Consider the following 21872-nt stretch of genomic DNA (forward strand, 5'->3'; position numbering starts at 1 on the left):
ATCTTTGAGGAATGTGGCCAGGGTGATCATCCATGACCAGCAGGAAGGTCAAGGAAGCAAAACAAAGCAACAACATACCTGGCCTAACTGCTGAACGTCAGTTGGATAGAAATTCCACTGTTCTACATGCACACATATAAGAAGAAATGGCTCATTTACTATGAGAAATCAAGTGGCACAAAGTAGATGTTATACTAAAATGAAGGAAGCAGATTTTCATGTTTATGTTTGTAATGCCAAACTCTGGAGTTGGTTTGATATTTCTGCTTGAAGCCAAAATTAGCAGGCAAATTATTGTGTAATAACGACTGCATGCAGTATTATTGCACAAAGTGAGTTGGTTGGTATTTATGTTAAATTCAAGTACCACACATAATCTGAACTCATACTTTTGTCTTGAAGAATACTCATCTAGCAAAAACTTTCAAATATATTCCACTCTCCCAATATTTTTCTCCTCCTGATAAGCCTTCTCTGCTTCGTTGTTTAATTTTCAGATTCAAGGTGCTAGGACAGCTTCTGTCAACCCCACTAGGTGGAAAGGAATTCATGTTCCCACTTGGTGTGACCACACCACAGACAGGGAATTTCATAATAAAAAGTTTCAAATATCAGACCAGAGTTCAAGGAATTACACAACTATCAATACTAATGCCTAATGAAAAAATCTGGCCAAACCCCTAAAACTGGAAGGAAAAAGTAACTGTTCCTTGATGTATGCAACCTGGCTTCAAAAGTCAAAAGTACACCTCTAGGTAGTGAAGAAAATGTGATTCTGTAATCCTAAAGGAATTTAGAATACAACAGGAGAAAATCCAAACTCATATATTGTAATGTTCTCTGTAATTAGACATTCCCGCCCTACCCCTGCAGCATGACCAAACATTGAATACTAGAATGCCCAGCCATACCTGGAACCCTCTCCCTGAGGGCATTGACTTCCCAGACACATGCCTCTGAATGCAAGAGTCAGGATTATTTATCTCCTTATCACCAGACCAGCAGAGACTGGGCCACATGAGTAAACCAATTACCGGCCGAAGCAGAGAAGAGCTTAGGACTCTGGTTCTTACTCATTAACGATAACCATCAGACTTAGTTCCAGCTCATCTTCCACTTAAACTCTGTTGCACAATGCCCAGCACAACTATACTAGGATGCAGCTATCTGTTTTTCCCCTTTCCTAAAACTGAAGGGGGGAAAAAGGATCTGTTTGTTCAAGATTGAGAGACAAATTCCAATCTGGACGAAACTTCCTGGTCTTTTCACTACAGATCATCAATGGAAGGCAAAAACAAAACAAAAAACCAAAATTACTTGTTCTGTTCATTTTGAATGTTCACTTACTGATACGATCTTCTAATTCCATTTTTGCTTTAACCATGTGCATCTTAGAAATGTCTGACAGAGACATAATTTAGGATCAATAATTTTACCATTGGTCATACAATTAACCTTCTAGCTTTTACAGATGGGGCACATCTGCTTTGACATTTGTTGGTTTTGGCTGTTCAGCAATAGATTTATCTTTTTCAATATCACCCTACTCTCCTTTTGGGGAATCCATTCAAATGTGGTTCTAGTGGCGTCCAACTCTGGAACTGCAAGGGGTTTTGTAGGAAGCTGGAATGTGGCTTACATCTGGCAGTTGGAAATTCTCCCCGTGGAATCTGAATCTCCCCTGGAAACTCTCCCCTGGGACCATACCCCATTATTCGTACTGCTTTAGATACATGGGGAGTGTCGAGGTATGGGACACTCTGCTCCTGCTCCCTGGTCTTCCCTGAATGACTTTAGCTCTTTCCTTTGAACCCCAAATATCTGAGACAGGTCTCGGTCAATTTAGGAAGTTTATTTTGCCAAAGTTAAGAATGTATGCCTGTGACACAGCCTGAGGAGGTCCTGACGACATGTTCCCAATGTGGTCGGGGCACAGCTTGGTTTTATACATTTTAGGGAGACATGAGACATCAATCGATATATGTAAAATGTACACTGGTTCCGTCAAGAAAGGCGAGATAACTCGAAGTGGGGAGAGGACTTCCAGGTCATAGGCAGATACAAGACAAATGGTTGCATTCTTTTGGGTTTCTGATTAGCCTTTCCAAAGAAGGCAATCAGGTTTGCATTTATTTCACTGGGCAGAGGAGGGATGACTTTGAGTTCTGTCTGTCCTTTGTCCACAAGGAAATTCCTTGTGAGGGAGGTATGTAGCTTTTAAAAAACTTAGTAGCTATCTTTTTAGGAATAGAATGGGGGGCAGTTTTGCCCTAAGCACTTCCCAGCTTGACTTTTCCCTTTGGCTTGGTGATGATTTGGGTGATGATTTTGAGATTTATTTTCCTTTCATATGTCTGTTCTCTAAGTTTGGTCCTCTAGCCTCCCATTAGGATGTCTGACAACTTTCTGACAAATATTTTACTTATGATAGTTAAAATTCATTTCTGGCTGAGCGCGGTGGCTCACGCCTGTAATCTCAGTACTTTGGAAGGCCAAGGTGGGTGGATCACTTGAGGTCAGGAGTTCGAGACCCGCCTGGCCAACATGGTGAAACCCCATCTCTACTAAAAATACAAAAATTAGCCGGGCATGGTGGCATGTGCCTGTAATCCCAGCTACTCGGAAGGCTGAGGCAGGAGAATTGCTTGAATCCGGGAGGTGGAATTTGCACTGAGCCAAGATCACGTCACTGTACTCCAGCCTGGGTGACAGAGTAAGACTGTCTCAAAAACAAAACAAAACAAAACATTTATGAGCTTGTAACAGAGAATCTAATATATCAACTGAAGCCCAGAGAATTTACTGATTTACCCTAAAATCACATAGCTAGTTAGCAGTAGGGCTGGGCTTAAGCCCCCATGTCATCTGACACTCTGGGCAGCACTTTAACCCTTTATTCTGTGTTCGATGTTATTACAACAGGACATATTGCTAAATAATAGCTTAAACAACTAGCAGTTAAAAACACTGCCAGTTGAGGCTGGGCATGGTGGCTCACGCCTGTAATTCCAGCACTTTGGGAGGCTGAGGCGGGTGGATCACGACATCAGGAGTTCGAGACTATCCTGGCTAAAACAGCGAAATCTCATCTCTACTAAAAATATAAAAAATTAGCCAGGTGTGGTGGCATGCGCCTGTAATTCCAGCTACTCGGGAGGCTGAGGCAGGAGAATTGCTTGAACCTGGGAGGCGGAGGCTGCAGTGAGCCGAGATCGCGCCACTGCACTCCAGCCTGGGCAACAGAGCGAGACAGTGTCTCAAAACAAACAAACAAACAAAACCCCCCCAAAGAAAACGCCACTGGTCAGTCCATCTGAAGAGAACAAAGGCAGGATTTCACTGCAAAGCTTGGTATGATGCTTGTTCTGTTTCTCTTTTTCTTTCTTTTTTTTTAGCTTTTAGCTTTTGGTTTGAGTTTTAAATTACTACCAAATCATGAAAGATCAGAGCTGCAGGGCCTTTAGGGAGTCTAAGGCAGGGCTCTAAATGGAAGTAGTTGGGCCTAATTCACCATGTCTTGTGAGACCAAGCACAGATCTAAAATAATTTTGACTTCTGAATACCTTTGAAAAGAACACACCCTATCCCATTCCTCCAGGTAGCCACCATTCTTGGACTTATACCAAGCAGCCTTGCTACAAAACACTTCTGAGTTTGCTAAGATCCAAGAGACCAGACCTTCTCATGACACCACTGCTGTCTTCTTGTCTTCCTCTCTGTGCAGCCACCTTAGCAAGGCTCAGTCTCAGTCTTGCCTCCAGTCACCATCCAAAAATAACCACCACCTCCCTCACCCCCAAACAAAAACCTAGGTGCTCAGGAAAGGAACTGGTCTCAAGTAACTTCCCAACACACAACTGACCCAGGTCCTCCTGGTAACTGACAGTGGTGGAGAGTTTTGTTTTTGAGAAGGTCCTCCTCCAAAGAGAGGAGAAACTGCCTCAGCTCAAAGGAACCCATTTCCCTTACAGACTGAATCAACAAAGCTTCTTGGTCCTGCAGCCCTAAATTCTAGATGTAAATACTTTTTCAAAATGGAAAAATTTAAAAGCTGTCTGGACTCAAAAGTAAATGACCTGAAAAGTTCTTTCTTAGTATTTAAAATGCTGGATGTCTTGGTTACTAAGAGACATGATGATGACCAACATGTCTCTTAGTAACCAAGACATGGCACCAAGTTTAAAATAGGTGGGAATAAACAAACAAAATGAAAGGAGATTAACTCAGAAAAACTGTTCAGCATTTAAAAAATAATTTCATTTGCATGATTCAACAAATACCTTCCCAGGTATTTAAAAACACACCCGCAGAAGAAATGCAAATTAGGCTTTCAAGCATTTGGCCTAAGTGTCAAACCCTGCTTTCAGACCATTCTCTTTCACCCTTGGCAATGTGTCTTTGAGGCTAAGGTCATCTTCTGTTCTTTGTTGCTGTTACCTTCTGATATCCTTGTCACTCTTTTTTTAACCCCTTATCTTGTCCAATCTTCTTTCCCCAATTCCCCAAATCCTACTATAATCTTAAGACATTTCAGTGTTCATACAGATGAACATCCAACAACTTTGTCTCAAAATTTTCTCATCCTCTTGGTCTTCAAAGACCTTTACTCCTTTTAGACTTCTAGTTCACAGGGTCCCTCTGGAAGTCACGAGTTCTTGATGGACTTAATTTCAGAAATTAAACTCACTTTCTGATTACAACTCCCTCTCCTTGTAATTCCCATGTGCTCACTCCCTCTTCAAGCTGAGGGAGACTCCTAGACCCCTGATTCCTGAATTTTTTCTTTCTTTTTTTCTTTTTTTGTTTTTTGGGACAGAGTCTTGCCCTATCACCCAGGCTGAAGTGCAATGGTGCAATCTCGGCTCACTGCAACCTCCGCCTCCTGGGCTCAAGCAATTCTCCTGCCTCAGCCTCCAGAGTAGCTGGGATTACAGGCACGCACCACTGCGCCCAGCTAATTTTTGTATTTTTAGTAGAGACGGGGTTTCACCATGTTGCCCAGACTGGTCTTGAACTCCTGACCTCAGGTGATCCACCAGCCTCGGCCTCCCAAAGTGCTGGGATTACAGACGTGAGCCACTGCGCCCGGTGATTCCTCGGTTTTTTCTAGCTATCAACCTCCTTTTGGCTTTTTCTTTCCTAACCAACCTAGTCCCATGTCCTATTTCTTTCTTTCTTTTTTTTTTTTGAGATGGAGTCTCGCTCTGTTGCTCAGGCTGGAGTGCAGTGGCGTGATCTTGGCTCACTGCAAGCTCCGCCTTCCAGGTTCATGCCATTCTCTTGCCTCAGCCTCCCGAATAGTTAGGACTACAGGTGCCCGCCACCACGCCCGGCTAATTTTTTGTATTTTTAGTAGAGATGGGGTTTCACTGTGTTAGCCAGGATGGTCTCGATCTCCTGACCTCGTGATCCACCTGCCTCAGCCTCCCAAAGTGCTGCGATTACAGGCGTGAGCCACTGCACCTAGCCTCCATGTCCTATTTCTTAACTGGTTTCCCTACAGTCTATTCTCTTTGCTCCAGATTTCCCTTCATAATACTACAGCTTAAAATGGTATGGTTATTTGATGTGTTATTTATTATTATTACATGTCTGAGCAGTAACTCTCTGTTTAGCACATTACCTGACACTAAATAAATGTTTAGCAATTATAGTAATTATATGTGGAATAAATGAAAGAAAAGCAGCTGAACACTTAAGGAGATAAGAAACCATGTCTCTGGATGCCACAGCACATTCACGGTCTCAGTGCAAGGATATCAGAGATGACAGTAATGACACTGACTTGACTCAGCGGGGCACTTAACACCTCTGGACAGCTCCCTCTCCTACTCCTTTCCACTGTTATTCCAAACCCTCTCTACTCTCCCAAAGTCCCATTGCAACTTCTGTTTCCTTCAACTTTCCACAGTTAACTTGGCCTTCTATACTACCAAGAAAATGGAGGCTAGCTAGTGTGATTTCTCTCAATTACTTTCTCTCACCTGCAGACTTATCTCCTTTCTCCAATCTGAGAGAATGATGTGACCTATGTCCTTGGTCCCACTCCCTCATCTCCTAGTTTTCTCTCTCCAGTGACTACTTCTCCTCAGCCTGGAAACATGCTTAAGTCTGGTCTCTCATACCCTTAAAAGAAAACAACCTCCATGCCCCCAAACCTTAACTTGATCCTGTGTTCTAAGTTCTTATTTATTTATTTATTACAGTTGAACCCAGGTACCTTTCTCTTTGGCTTCTTTTTCTGATCATTTTCTTTCACGTGCTTCAGGAAGCTGTCTTGGCTCTTAGAGTGCTTTATGTGCTCAATACACACATTAATTAGAGTGCTTAATGTGCTCAATACACACATTAATTCTCTTGGCAAGAATCTTGCCCTCAACTTGTGTACAACAATGCCAGCAGCATGCTGGTTAACATTGTAGACTCCTTCAGTTCTGCCATGGTAACACTTGTGGGGCATTCCTTTTTGAACAGTACCCATTCCCTTGATGTCTACATTATCACCTTTCTTATAGATTCGCATATGCATGGCCAAAGGAACAACTCCATCTTTTCTAAAAGACCTAGAGAACATATATCGGGTGCCTCTCCTCTTTCCCTTTGTGTTTGTTTTTGGTGAATTACTGGAAGATGGCAGTTCCGGCTGAAAGTCTAAGTTCTCTTTATTAAGAAGGAAGTCTCTACTTGCTGTCCCCATTTTCTTCCCTTGCCAGTCAATTTTTCTACCCACTGGCATCTTGCTTCTGTCTCACCACTCCTCTGAAACTCCTCCCCCACTCTAAGTTTGCCAATGATTTCCCCAGTGATAGATCCTAAAGACAAAGACCCCTTTAGCTTAGCATCAATTTCTGTTCTTCATTTAATACCTAATGTGTACCGGCAAATCACTTTCTCCTTTTTGACTACCCTGCCCCTGCTCCCCTCAGTTTCTAAGACATTAAGTCCCTCTGGTAACTCTCTGACCATTCCAGTTCCATATCCTTTGTCAGTAACCCTACCCTATCCACCGCCCTTAAAACAGAGAGTCTGTTTGACCTTCAAAGTGCTTTGAAACATAAATTTATTGACAATTTTTTTGAAGCAGGGTCTCACTCTGTTCACCCAGGCTGTAGGGCAGTGGTGTGTTCATGGCTCACTGCAGCCTCAACCTCACAGGCTCAAGCAATCCTGCCACTTCAGCATCTTGAATAGCTGGGACTCCAGGTGTATGCTACCATGCATGGCTAATTTTTTAATATTCTATAGAGATGAGGTCTCACTATGTTGCCCAAGCTGGTCTAGAACTTCTGGACTCAAGCAATCCTCCCACTTTGGCCTCCCAAGGTGAGGAGATTATAGGTGTGAGCCACTGCGCTCAGCCCATTGACAATTAATTGTACTTAAAAATCCAGCTTCTTTTGAAAAATCATAAAATTTGAACACACATGTCCATCTAGCAACAACTGGCCAGAGATGAGCAGTGGCTGCCATTTTAGACATGAGATGGTGTTAAGTGCTATGGAGAAAAATGAAGCAGAGAAAGAGTAACAGGGAGTGCTGCTGTGTATACTTACTTGTGTTATAAGCTATGGCAGGGAAAATCTCTTCACTAAGCTGACATTTAAACAGAGATCTGTAGGAATTAGGGGAGGCAGCCATGCAGCTGTTTGGAAAAAGAACATTAAAGGCAGTGGGGGGAGCTAGGCATGGTGGTGTGCACCTGTAATCCCAGCTACTCTGGAGGATGAGGTGGAAGGATCACTTGAGCCCAGGAGTTTAAAACCAGCCTGGGCAACATAGCTTGTGCTATCTGAAAAAAAGGTAGTGGGAGCAGCAGATATAAAAGGCCCTGAGGCAGAAGAATAACTGGCTAGCTTGGGAATTAGCAAGGAGGTCAGGGGCACTGAAATGTAGTTAGCCAACAATGAGTGGTAGAAAATGAGACCAAAGAGGTAGAGAAGGGCAAGTGGTGTAGGGTTTCAGTGTTTCTACTTTCTCATTTGTAATTCACTTTCCAACACATTGTAATTGGGATTTTCTTTTGCCTGTAAAATCCAATGAACATTTTCTCAGTCCTTATCAAATGCCTGACCATTTGATATGGTTAACAACCATCCACCTTCTTGAAACTTTCTTATTATTCCTTCTATGTTTCTGACTATTCCTTCACATTCTCATTTGTGGGCTCCTATTCTTTTGTCAACTTCTTAAATAGGATGTCTTCCACGATTTCGTCACCACTCCTCTCCTTGTTCTATATACACTCTTCTGAATGTCTTTAGCCACACTTATGGCTATCACCATCCTGTATGTTGATGACTCCTTATTAGTTATCTATTGATGCATAGCAAATTATCCTAAAACTTAAAAGCCTAAAACCACAAAAAACATTTATTATCTCACAGTTTTTGAGAATCAGGAATTCAGGAACAGCTTAGCTGGATGGTTCTGGCTTAGGATCTCTTAAGAGGCTACAGTCCCGTCCTGGCTAACACGGTGAAACCTTGTCTCTACTAAAAATACAAAACATTAGCTGGGCGTGGTGGCAGGCACCTGTAGTCCCAGCTACTCTGGAGGCTGAGGCAGAAGAATGGCATGAACCCGGGAGGCGGAGCTTGCAGTAAGCCAAGATCGTGCCACTGCACTCTAGACTGGGCGACAAAGCAAGATTTCACCTCAAAAAAAAAAAAAAAAAAAAAAAAAAGAGGCTGCAGTCATCTGAAGCCTAGACTGGGACTGGAGGATCTGTTTCCAAGATGGCTCATTTACATGGCTGCTAATAGGAGACCTCAGTTCTTTGCCATGTAAATTTCTCCTCTGGGCTGCCTGAGTGTCCTTATGACGTGGCAGCTGACTTTCCCCAGAATGAGTGATCCCAGGGAGAACAAGGTAGCAGAACAATGCTTTGTGACTTAATTTTGGAGGGCACACATCATAATTTCTGCAACATTATACTGGTAATATAGGTCAGCCCTATTTAGTGTAGGAGGGGACTATACAAGGATAGCAATACTGGGCGGCAACAACCACTATGGACCACCCTGGAGGCCAGCTGCCACAACTCTCTGACTCTCTAAAAGATCAGATCTAACATCAGAGCCCCAGACCTATAAAATCAGCTGCCTACTGGATAGCTGTTGTTTATAATGGCAAGAACTTCACCATTACTTCAGAAACTTTCATTTGTAGAAACTCAGAATCTGTTACAATGGCACGTCCATCAATGTTCTCTTTGGGAGTTGTGTGATGGTCATGGTAGTGGTTAGGTGTTGGCTTTGAGCACTGTGAAATAAAGTTAAAGAGGAGTTTGGGCCCGGTGTGGTGGCTCACGCCTGTAATCCCAGCTACTCGGGAGGCTAAGGCAGGAGAATCACTTGAACCCGAGAGGTGGAGGTTGCAGTAAGCCAAGATCGTGCCACTCCAGCCTAACAGCCTAACTGACAGAGCAAGACTCTGTCTCAAAAGAAAAAAAAAAAAGAAAAAAAAAAGAAAAGGGGACTTTGTAACTATCATTTATTGAGTACCCACCTGTGTTAGGCATGATGCCTAGTACTTTACAACCACTATCTTAAAACAACTTGATGAACAGAAGTTCTTCCCATTTCACAGATGAGAAAACAAAGGTTTTGAGAGTAACTTGCTTAAACTTACCAATTACACAACTAGTAAATTACAGAGCAGGAGTCAAAATGTAGGCTTCTTTTCTTTTCTTCTTTTTTGAGACAGAGTTTTGCTCTTGTTGCCCAGGCTGGAGTGCAATGGCACAGTCTCGGCTCACTGCAACCTCCGCCTCCTGGGTTCAAGTGATTCTCCTGCCTCAGCCTCCCAAATAGCTGGGATTACAGGCACCTGCCACTGTGCCTAGTTAATTTTTGTAATTTTTTAGTAGAGATGGGGTTTCACCATGTTGGCCAGGGTGGTCTCGAACTCCTGACCTCAGGTGATTCACCTGCCTTGGCCTACTAAAGTGCTGGGATTACAGGCATGAGCCACTGTACCTGGCCTACAGGCCTATTTTCAAGTTTTGTTGTTTTTGTTTAAAACATCACTCCCTGGCTCTCTAGCATTTTGAATTCTTTGCCTGTTCTGTACAACAAGGACACCACAGTCCCATTGTAGTGTTATCCACCAATGTACCAATAGGGTTCTAAAAGTGAATTCTCAAATACTAGAACACCAAGGAATTTTTTTGTTATTTAAAAAATTGAGTCAGTTCAGTGCTACTTTATTTCAACCTTACCAGTAACTCTCAAAATTAATTGGCCACAAAAACTGAACTCCATCTGCAAAACAACAGTTTCTCAATTTTCCTTACCAAACCATCTCTTCTATAGTTGTTTTCTACCTTACTAGGCTGAACATAAAAAATATATTGCCAGTAGGACCTCTTAAAAGTTCCTCAAAGTTACTAATTCCCAAATATTAAACCACGGGGAACAGAGAAAGGCATGGTAAAGTATGTTGAATCTCTTTTAAATCTACTGCCTGGTTTTCTCTACTATCGCTGGACTGCCTGACTTTTTAAAGTCCCTGGACAAATTCTTCTTTTCGTAACTGTTTAAATGCATATTACAGATCCCTTGGGCCATGCACTAATGCACAAATGAAATCTAGGAGGGGCACTGCTGCCAGTGTTAGGTTCTGACACTTGCAAAAGCAGTTAACTTTTGTTAAAAAAAAAAAATTAACGATGATGGAGGAGGAGGAACAGGAGGAGGAAGAGAAAAAAATAGCAAAAGGCAAAGTCCAAATGACAATTTAAGGACCTGTCAAAGAAAAGGGAAAAGAGAAAGCAAGTAGAAGTCACTGTCCTTAATTACCTCACAATTTTTCACCCATCCAGTGTTCTCTGTTTCCTAGTCTTTTCCCCTTACAGAATCACTACAGAATTGTAACACCATTACAGATGAAAAATTCACTCTACTGGTTTCTTGCAAATTTAATTTATTAAGCTTTCTTGATGTCCAATCCAATGTTTAACAGTTCAAATTCACTAAATGCACATTTTAAAGTAAATTTATGAAGACGCAATGATCCACAGCTCTTGGGGAGCTGGGGACAAAGAGATCACACAGTAGTATTTTGCAGTACTCTAGAGTGGGATGTGAAATAACAATAATTCCAAACATTTTAGTTAGGGTTTAGAAAAAGAGGAAAATAACCTAATCAAAATGATCCAAGAGTAAATTTAACTTTCATATGTGTTTTAAATGTATCAGAGAAAAGAAGTTAAGATTCATTATATATTTGCTCCAGCATAGAACGGACATTGCAGTATAATCCTACACTTGTTCCCTGGATTGCTTTTAGGTTTTGGTCGAGCTAGGTCCTATAATCTACCCCAGTGGCAACTCAGGACCCAGGAAAACAAGGGAAAAAGGAAAAACTTTTAACCACCGGCTTTACTACTAAAGGCAAAATTTCTCTGCAATGATTGGAAGGAAAGCTAGAATTCTGAGGGTCTTTTGTTTTCTCACACAGTAAGACAGCTAGAAAAGCTGTATGTAAATCCTGCAGACTTCCTAAGTCATCAGGGGACCCTAGACACCACAGGTCCAACCCTTCAAATGTCTAAGTATTGGGGATTACGGTTTCTGAAAGGAAGGTGGCTGAAGATATTCAATAACAAACTTTCTACCAAAACAAGGAAACATGGTCCATTTTGTTCTTTTTGTCAAACAAGAAAGGGAAAATGATGAGGAGGCATGGATGTGTCCTTATTCACCATTAAGAAGACAAAGGGTGAGACATAACAGCTCTGAAAAGGGAGACGACCAGTTACAAGTGAAACACTATTACTAACAAGATTAGTCAGGTATTAGAAGAAATGAGGCTTGCAACTCAACAAAGGGCAGAAAAGTATAGACATGTCTTTTTTCTAAATGAGACTGTCCTTGGGTGGGCAGGGTAATGTTTCTTGAAAGTCAATGTAATTTGTAAGGCCGGATGCAGTGGCTCACGCCTGTAATCCCAGCACTTTGGGAGGCTGAGGAGGGTGGATCACGAGGTCAGGAGTTCAAGACCAGCCTAGTCAAGATGGTGAAACCCCATCTCTACTAAAAATACAAACATTAGCTGGGCATGGTGGCCGGCACCTGTAATCCCAGCTACTCGGGAGGCTGAGGCAGAGAACTGCTTGAACCCGGGAGGTGGAGGTTGTAGTGAGCCGAGATCGCGCCACTGCACTCCAGCCTGGGCAATAGAACGGGACATTATCTCAAAAAAAAAAAAAAAAAAGTCAGTGTAATTTACAACAGCAGTTTCTAAATATTAAAAAAATCCTTCACACATGTTATATGTCTTACTTTTAAAAAGTTGGATCTCAGCCATACTCTAGAGTACTTGGGTTTCAAAAGTCAGAAAGGAAAATAAAAATAAGGACTCATCGATGGAGTACTGATAAGCTGCAATGTCCTTTGAGTAACTCAAGACCAAAAACCAAAAGATAATGCCAGGAGAAAAACAGGGAAGTGGCTAAATGACAAAGTATCTGAACTTCTGCTTAAGACAAAGGACACAATTACGCAAAAAGCTATGCACGGGAAGATAACATGGCAGGAATGAAAACAGCTATCAATAAGGATAGTAATATTGTGGGTGATTTTTTTCTTTTTGAAAATTTTCTTAAATTATGTTATTATACTGTGTTTTCAGTTTTTAAAAAGGACCGAAAAGTGGGGAGGGGCAGTACAGGAAAACACACCGTGGGAACAGAGTCAAGCACACAGATGGTTTGCGTAAGCTAAATTTTCAGACATCTGCCTTTGTGCAAGACTGGAAAAAGTAGAGCTGCTGTCAACAAGTTCTCTGCAGTGAGAGAGGGGTGGAGCCTGAGAGAAAGTGAACCGTGAAGAAACCAACAATCCGAAGCCACAGGGCTGAAGAACAAATAATTTCTTAGATTAAGTTCCTCATTTATGAGCTACCCCTCTTCCCAAAATGCTTTGCCATCGGCAATGTCTACTACTCAAATAAGGAGACCTTAAGCTGCCCATATGTCTCCACTTAAGTGACTGAGGTTCTCTGTCAGTAGCACTACTTAGCTCTATGCAAGATATCCCATCTCTGTGGGCAAGATATCCCATCTCTGTGGGAGATGAGATATGGTACAATATACTGTATAAAAATCTGGGTGAGATGCAAATGGCCCCAAACCTCCCTTCATTTTCCAATTCCAAATAAAAAAAAGCTTATCATGTACAGAAAACTCATGTAAAAGCAAAGACAATACAGTTGTTCATCTGCTCTACTGCCTTGCTTTGATATATGTTTAACTTTATTTCTGTTTAGTTAAATGAATACTCCTAGGCCTATATTGTTTGCTCTTGCATGTAAGGCAATGAAGGGAAATTGCCATTCACACTGCTTTATATAGTGCCCAGTGTAACGCTATATACACAGTGCTTAATGAATGTGATCTGAAAATGGCAATAGGGAAGCTGAAGACTCAAGAACACTTTGGAAGATAAGAAAGTATGGAAGATATTACAAAACCTCTTCTCTGGTACATGTGAAGAACGGGAAGGTAACATGGCAGGAATGGAAATGGCCCTAAGTAAGGAACTTAACATTGTGGGTAATTTTTTCTCTTTTTGAAAATTTTCTTTAATGATATTATTCTGTGTTTTCAATTTTTATAAAGGACCAAAGTGATTCTGGGGTGGGGGGTAGGGCAGCTCTTCTGGCAGGTGAGAAAGCCCACATTTGTCATACAAACCACAGGAAAGGCCTTATTTGTTCTTGTTTGCAGCCTTTAATCAGGCCTCATGCTAGGGGGAACTTCTTCCACTTGAAAAATTTACTTGCAAAGTTCTATCTGGTGTTCTGTCTTGAACTTCCCTTTTCTGAGAAGTTGGGTGTATTGTATGGGATACTCCCATACATCTACCTTCTGGGCAAACTGACTACAAAAGATGTGGGAAATCTCTTGTTCAGGCACAGTAGCCTCTCTTAGGTCCTATATAAGCTCCTCTTCCTGAATTCTCAGTCAGTTAATTCCACATAGTTCACAGGACCCACATTTTCCTGTTGGTGACAGCAAAAGCTACAACAGACCAAATTATAATTTAATCAACTAGATACAGATTTTAACTCAAAGGTGTAATACATGCAAAACAGAGGAAGGTGCCTATTCTTTCTGTACTCATATAATCTAACTGAGGTTTTAAAATGTGGATGTCAGAACCTATTCTAGCCGGGCAGGGTGGCTCACACCTGTAATCCCAGCACTTCGGGAGGCCGAGGTGGGTGGATGGCCTGAGGTCGGGAGTTCAAGACCAGCCTGACCAACATGGTGAAACCCCATCTCTACTAAAAATACAAAATTAGCCGGGCGTGGTGGCACATGCCTGTAATCCCAGCTACCTGGGAGGCTGAGGCAGGGGAATCACTTGAACCCGGGAGGCGGAGGTTACAGTGAGCCAAGATTGTGCCATTGCACTCCAGCCTGGGCAACAAGAGCAAAACTCTGTCTCAAAAAAAAAAAAAAAAAACAAAACCCTATTCTAAGGACCCAGATTACCAAATCTTTTTTTTTTTTTTTTTTTTTTTCAAAGAGACAGAGTCTCGCTCATTGCCCAGGCTGGAGTGCAGTGGTGCATTCTCAGCTCACTGCAACCTCCACCTCACGGGTTCTAGCAATTCTCCTGCCTCTGCCTCCCGAGTAGCTGGGATTACAGGCGCATGCCACCATGCCCAGCTAATTTTTGGTATTTTAGTAGAGACAAGGTTTCACCATGTTGCCCAGGCTGGTCTCAAACTCTTGAGTTCAGGCAATCCACCCACCTCGGCCTCCCAAAGTGCTAGGATTACAGGTGTGAACCACCGTGCCTGGCCGTTAATTTTTTCTGAAGGTGTTCTAGTTGATTCTGAAACTCAGTTTGGTTTGAAAACTTTTCAAGAATACATCACAGATTTTCATTCAACAGGTATTTGTTGAGAGCTTATTATGTAGCAGGTCCCATTCAAGGCACTGGAATACAGCAATGAACTTTTATAAAAGCCAGGGAATCGGCCAGGCACGGTGGCTCACGCCTGTAATCCCAGCACTCTGGGAGGCCAAGACGGGCAGATCACGAGGTTAGGAGATCGAGACCATTCTGGCTAACATGGTGAAACCCCGTCTCTACTAAAAATACAAAAAATTAGCCGGGCATGGTGGTGCGTGCCTGTAGTCCCAGCTACTCAGGAGGCTGAGGCAGGAGAATTGCTTGAACCCAGGACGCCGAGGTTGCAGTGAGCCAAGATTGCACCACTGCACTCCAGCCTGGGCGACACAGCAAGAATCAGTCTCCAAAAAAAAAAAAAAAAAAAAAAGCCAGGGAATCCCATTACTGGGTATATACCCAAAAGATTCTAAATCATTCTACTATAAAGACACATGCCACATGCACATGTATGTTTACTGCAGCTACATTTACAATAGCAAAGACTTGGAACCAACCCAAATGCCCATCAATGATAGACTGGATAAAGAAAATGTGGCACATATACACCATGGAATACTATGCAGCCATAAAAAAGAATGAGTTTATGTCCTTTGCAGGGACATGGATGAAGCTGGAAAACATCATTCTCAACAAACTAACACAGGAACAGAAAACCAAACACTGCATGTTCTCACTCATAAGTGGGAGTTGAACAATGAGAACACATGGACACAGGGAAGGGAACATCACACACTGGGGCCTGTCGGAGGGCTGGGGGCAAGAGGAGGGAGAGCAGTAGGACAAATATCTAATCCATGTGGGGCTTAAAACCTAGATGATGGGTTGATAGGTGCAGCAAACCACCATGGCACATGTATACCTATGTAAGAAACCTGCATGTTCTGCAAATGTATCCCAGAACTTAAAAGAAAATTTAAAAAAAGCCAGGGAATCAATAGATTTGTGACAGTGGAGGTAGAGAGAGACAAATAAGTAAAATGTCAGGTGATAATAAATGCTGTGAAGTAAGCAGTGGGTAAGAGGCTAAAAAATGACAAGGTGCACTGCTGTTTTAGGTAAGGAGGTGGTCAAGATGATATTCGAGCAGAGACTTAAATAAAAAATAAAACAAACACACTAACCGCCCTCTCCAGAAGAGAGGGGAGGCAGAACGCTTCTTCCTCCATGGAAGGACATCTATTCAATCCATTCTGGAGCCTGGGTAGGCATTAGTCAGGTGAAAGGAGGTTAGGAGGGAAAAGAAAGGATGTTTCAGGCAGGGGGAGCAGCATGTGCAAAGGCCTGGTCAGAGGGACAGAACAACTTCAATCCTATTGTATGGGGAAACAGTGGAGAGGGCTTCAGTACAGATGGGGAGAGGTACAGATTTGGAAGGGTTTTCTATGGCTTGCTAAGGAATCTAGCTTTATTCTGAGGCTAAGAGAGAGCCAGAGTTTGCATTTCTAGAAAGATTCCTCCAACTACAATATGGAGAATGGATTGGAAGAGGGGTGAAACTTAGAAAAAGGGAGACAGATGTCACTTTGGTATTCCAGGCAAGTAACAAGGGTGGTCTGATCTGAGCTAATGAGAATAAAGAGAATATAGATACCATGGGGGCTATTTGTCTAGTTTATTTTTTAGTACAATGGTAAATTTACTCCATGAAGATATTCAAATTATAAGAACAATGAGAAATGTTTTGATATGTGAAAATCCCTTGCATTCATAAAGAATGTTTTTTCTTTGAAGTTCTTGATTCTTCTGACAGGTCCTTGTCTCTAAAAAATTGCAAGGCTTTGAGTCACCCAGCAGGGTCAAAAAAGGTCTATTTACATGGCTATTGCCTTTCATACCATCTGCCTTTGCCCAAACTTTTCTCAAAATAGGTTTTTTCCACCATCTCAATTTTGTCTTAAGTTACACTTGTGAATCCTCAGATTTGGATATCAAATCTCCCTTAATCTATCTACCGGCTGCCAGCCAATCATCCTGGACAAGCCAGGGAAGCTTACAGGCAATTCTTCCTTATGTCATTTTGTTATCACACATGTCTATATCATTTCCTGCCAGGCATCAAACTTACAGCATTAGGGAGGAACAGCTGCAGAGAATGCTTTTACACAAAGGACTTCCTTCCTTATCCCCCATTCAACGGATATGACAATATACTAATGGGCTCTAGTCAAATGAACAATAATGCAGATAAGTTCTGAAACTACCATTTTAAACCAATAATAGACAAAGAAAGTTCAGTTTCCTGAACACAGTAACAAGGAAAAGATGAATGGGAAATCTGAAGCCAGCTTCGATCAAAAGAAGACAAGTGAATTTTACAAATTCATCTGTATTACATTACAATAGGATGTTAGTGAAAAACTGGCAAGCAGGTAATATTAAATTTCTTTGACTCTCAGCTAAATTAAGTAATCCATTATTAAAAAATATCTATGAGAAGGCAGTTTTCAGGAACTTGAATTTCCCTAGTTCTAAAATCAGTAGTTGTGTAAAACATGGCTGCTGGAGAATGAAAAGATAATTTACGTTAAAGATGAACCACAGGCTATCCCTAGGAAATAACTGGTGGAGTAAGTCCAGAGAATAAGATTTGATCCAATATATATCTTAACCACAGAAAAGCTGTCATATTTTAATAGGTGACTAACTTTGCTTCTTACCTCTCTTCTATAAATGCAATTGTAACACTTAAAAAGATGTTAGAACCCACAGCTAGTAAGTCACTGAATGGGGAAAAACAGAAAACCCTTCCTCTAAGATCTGGAACATGACAAGGATGCCCACTTTTACCACTGTTATTCAAAATAGTGCTAGAAGTCCTAGACAGGGCAATCAGACAAGAAAAGAAACAAAGAGCATCCCAATTGGAAAGGAAGAAGTCAAATTATCCTTGTTTGCAGGCCAGGCGCGATCGCTCACACCTGTAATCCCAGCACTTTGGGAGGTCAAGGTGGGCAGATCACAAGAGGCCAGGAGTTCGAGACAAGCCTGGCCAACATGGCGAAACCCCTTCTCTACTAAAAATACAAAAATTAGCTGGGCGTGGTCTCAAACTTCTGGCCTCATGATACACCCACCCCAGCCTCCCAAAGTGCTGGGATTACAGGAATGAGCCACTGTGCCCATGCAGATGATATGATCTCACATTTGAAAAAAACCTAAAGACTCCACCAAAAAACTATTAGAACTGATAAACAAATTCAGTAAAATTGTGGGATACATAATCGGCATACAAAAATCAGTAGCATTTCTATATGCCAACAGCAAACAATCTGAAAACGAAATTTAAGAAGTAATACCATTTACAGTAGTCACACATAAAATTAAATACCTCGGAATTAACCAAAGAAGTGAACAACCTCTATAATAAAAACTATAACACACAGGTGAAAGAAATTGAAGACGACACCAAAAAAGGAAAACATATTCCATGTTCATGGATTGAAAGAATATTGTGAAAATGTCTATACTACACAAAACAATCTAAAGATTCAATGCAATCCCTATCAAAAAACCAATGACATTCTTCACAGAAATAGAAAAAATAATCCTAAAATTTACATGGAACCACAACATACCCAGAATAGCCAAAATCATCCTAAGCAAAAGGAACAAAACCGGAGGAATCACATTGTCTGACTTCAAATTATATTACCGAGCTATAGTAACCAAAACAGCATGGTAATGTCATAAAAAGAGACACATAGACCAATGGGATATAACACAGAATCCAGGAATAAATCCATACATCTACAGTGAACTCATTTTTGACAAAAGTGTCAAGAACATCCATTGGGGAAAGGAGAGTCTCTTCAATAAATGATGTCAGAAATACTGATGTCCATATGCAGAAGAGTGAAACTAGCCTCCATCTCTCGCCATATACAAAGTCAAATCAAAATGGATTAAATACTTAAACCTAAGACCTCAAACTATGAAACCACTACAAGAAAACACTGGGGAAACTCCAGGACATTGAACTGGGCAAATATTTCTTGAGTAATACCCCACAAACACAGGTAACCTAAGCAAAAATGGACAAACAGGATCACATCAAGTTAAAAAGCCTCTGCACAGCAAAGGAAACAACAAAGAGACCACCCACAGAATGGGAAAAAATATCTATAAACTACCCATCTGACAAGGGATTGATAACCAGATTAATATAAGAAGCTCAAACAACTCTATAGGAAATAAAATCTAATAATCTGATTTAAAAATGGGCAAAGGGTCTGAATAGACATTTCTCAAAAGATGACATTGAAATGGCAAACAGTTACATGAAAAGGTGCTCAACATCACTGATCATCAGAGAAATGCAAACCAAAACTACAATGAGATATCATCTTATCCCAGTTAAAACGGCTTTAATCCAGAAGATAGGAAATAATAAATGCTGGTGAGGATGTGGAGAAAAGGGAACCCTCATATGCTGTTGGTAGGTGTGTAAACTAGTACAACCACTATGGAGAACAGTTTGGAAGTTCCTCCAAAAACTAAATAGAACTACCATACGATCCAGCAATCTCGTTGCTGGGCATATACCCAAAGAAAGGAAATCAGTATAAAAAGAGATATCTGTACTTCCATGTTCTTTGCAGCTCTACTCACAATAGCCAAGATTTGCAAGTAACCTGTGTCCATCAACAGGTGAATGGATAAAGAAAATGTGGTACATTCATACAATGGGGTACTATTCAGCTATAAAAAGAATGAGGTCCTGTCTTTTGCAACAACATGGATGGACTGGAGGTCATTATGTTAAGTGAAATAAGCCAGGCACAGAAAGACAAACTTCACATATTCTCACTTATTTGTGGGAGCTAAAAATGAAAACAATTGAACTTATGGAGCTAGGGAGTAGAATGATGGTTACCAGAGACTGGCAAGGCTAGTAGTTGTGGAGAGGAAGTGGGGATGGCTAATGGGTACAAAAATATAGTTAGACAGAATAAATAAGATATAGTATTTGATAGCACAGCAGGGTGACTAAAGTCAACAACAATAAATTACTGTAAGTTTAAAATAAGTAAAAGAGGCCAGGCATGGTGGCTCACACCTGTAAACCCAGCACTTCGGGAGAGGCTGAGATGGGCAAATGGCTTGAGCTCAGGAGTTCGAAACCAGGCTGGGCAACATGGTGAAAGCCCATCTCTACTAAAAATACAAAAAATTAGTTGAGTGTGGTTGCACGTGCCTGTGGTCCCTGCTACTTGGGAGGCTGAGGCGGGAGGACTGCTTGAACCCAGGAGGTTGAAGCTGCAGTGAGCTCTGCTCACTCCAGCCTGGGTGACAAAGTGGGACTCTGTCTAAATATATATATATATAATTTTATATACATATAATTATATATATATATAATTTGTTTGTAACACAAAGGAAGGAAAAATGCTGGAGGTGACAGATACTCCATTTACCCTGATGTGATTTGACTTTTTCTTTTTTTTTTTTTTGGAGACAAGGTCTTACTCTGTCACCCAGGCTGGAGCAGAATGGCATGATCACCACTCACTGTAGCCTTGACCTCCAGGGCTCAGGTAATCATCTCACTTCAGCCTTCCAAGTAATTGGGACTACAGATGTGTGCCACCACACTCGGCTAATTTTTTTGGTAATTTTTGTAGAGATAGTGTTTCACCATGTTGCCCAGGCTGGTCTCGAACTCCTGGGCTCAAGCGATCTGCCTGCCTCGGCCTCCCAAAGTGCTGGGATTACAGGCATGAGCCACTGCACCCAGCCTAATGTGATTATTACACATTGCATGCCTGTATCAAAATATCTCTTGTACCCCATAAATATATATACCTACTATGTACCCACACAAGTTGTTTTTAAAATTTTAAAAAGATATGAAAATAAAATATGATGAAAAATATGATAAGGTGACTGTTACCTTCAGAATACAGCTATTTGAGAAGGGGCTCATCACTGGAAGTTCAAAATATCTCTAAATCAAACCTTTCCATAAATGGACTTACAGTTCTCAGATCATGTTTTCATTGACTTGATAGAGGCAGTACACAGTAGGTACACATTTGGCTAAGACTCAACTGACCAGGATTTTCTAATCACACTTCACTTATGTCTGGGTGCCTCTGAGTCAGTTTTAGCATTTTAGGCAGTTTCTCCATTCACATGAGATAAGGGTAGTATCTCAACATTTAAAGGCAGATAGGAAAAACATGGAATAGACAGGTGACCTGGAGTTCTTGCTCTGTCACTAATGAATTATATAATATGTGGTGAGATAATCCAGATTTCATTTCCTCATATTAACATTATAAATTCTTAAAGTTCATGATTTTAGGAGATTATCACTGGGGACCTTAAAAGCACTCTATTAAAGATGAGATCACCATATTTCTATAGTATTAAATAAGCAAAAATACCAACTAGGTTTTTCATAGCAGAAGTATTTTTTATTTATTTATTTATTTATTTATTTATTTATTTATTTATTTATTTATTTATTTTGAGATGGAGTCTCACTCTGTCGTCCAGGCTGGAGTGCAGTGGCACGATCTCGGCTCACTACAACCTCCGCCTCCCAGGTTCAAGCGATTCTCGTGCCTCAGCCTCCTGAGTAGCTGGGATTACAGGCATGCGCCGCTACACCCGGCTAATCTGTGCATTTTTAGTAGAGATGGGGTTTCACCATGTTGGCCAGGATGGTCTCGAATTCCTGGCCTCAACTGATCTGTCCACCTGGGCCTCCCAAAGTGCTGAGATTACAGAAGAAGTAATTCTTAAAGAATGCCTCTAAAGGTTATGTCACAATGGGCTGGGCTTCTCTGCAAATGTGACTGTTCAGACCCTATAGGGTACTAAACCCTATTTAGTAATGAAATGATTAATTTGTTCATTCATTGGATCCTTGCTTCCACTGGAAATTTTTTCTGCAGATAGAATCCTGTCCCTCCAACCCCCTCACCCCACAACCCCAGTGCT

The 21872-nt window shown here is 41.3% G+C and overlaps 1 protein-coding gene and 1 pseudogene across 14 annotated transcripts in view, besides 2 other annotated features; both read right to left on the reverse strand.

Annotated features, from left to right (window-relative positions):
• The window catches only part of SSH2 (slingshot protein phosphatase 2), a 304291-nt gene that overhangs the window by 84138 nt on the left and 198281 nt on the right, over positions 1-21872 (reverse strand). For 2 of the 14 annotated variants that reach the window (XM_047436969.1, XM_006722149.5), the window contains exon 1: positions 912-964. The exons of the other annotated variants lie outside the window; for them this stretch is intronic. Coding sequence is in view for 1 of the 2 variants with exons in the window: in XM_006722149.5 (XP_006722212.1) it covers positions 912-952 (41 nt within the window). In the remaining variant the exon portion in view is untranslated. Of the gene's footprint in view, positions 1-911; positions 965-21872 lie in introns of those variants that run through there. 14 annotated transcript variants of the gene reach the window in all.
• Positions 3044-3673: an enhancer, noted in NCBI's record as "H3K4me1 hESC enhancer chr17:28040137-28040766 (GRCh37/hg19 assembly coordinates)". NCBI's record gives its function as "activates a minimal SCP1, AML or CMV promoter by ChIP-STARR-seq in naive H9 embryonic stem cells {active_cell/tissue: H9 hESC(naive)}" and the evidence as "EXISTENCE:reporter gene assay evidence [ECO:0000049][PMID:30033119]".
• On the reverse strand, positions 6205-6650 carry RPL21P123 (ribosomal protein L21 pseudogene 123; annotated as a pseudogene).
• Positions 13602-13701: a silencer, noted in NCBI's record as "silent region_8386". NCBI's record gives its function as "represses an Ori minimal core promoter by ATAC-STARR-seq in GM12878 lymphoblastoid cells {active_cell/tissue: GM12878}" and the evidence as "EXISTENCE:reporter gene assay evidence [ECO:0000049][PMID:35858748]".

This window comes from Homo sapiens, chromosome 17, assembly GCF_000001405.40.
Source record: "Homo sapiens chromosome 17, GRCh38.p14 Primary Assembly".
Lineage (NCBI taxonomy): Eukaryota > Metazoa > Chordata > Mammalia > Primates > Hominidae > Homo > Homo sapiens.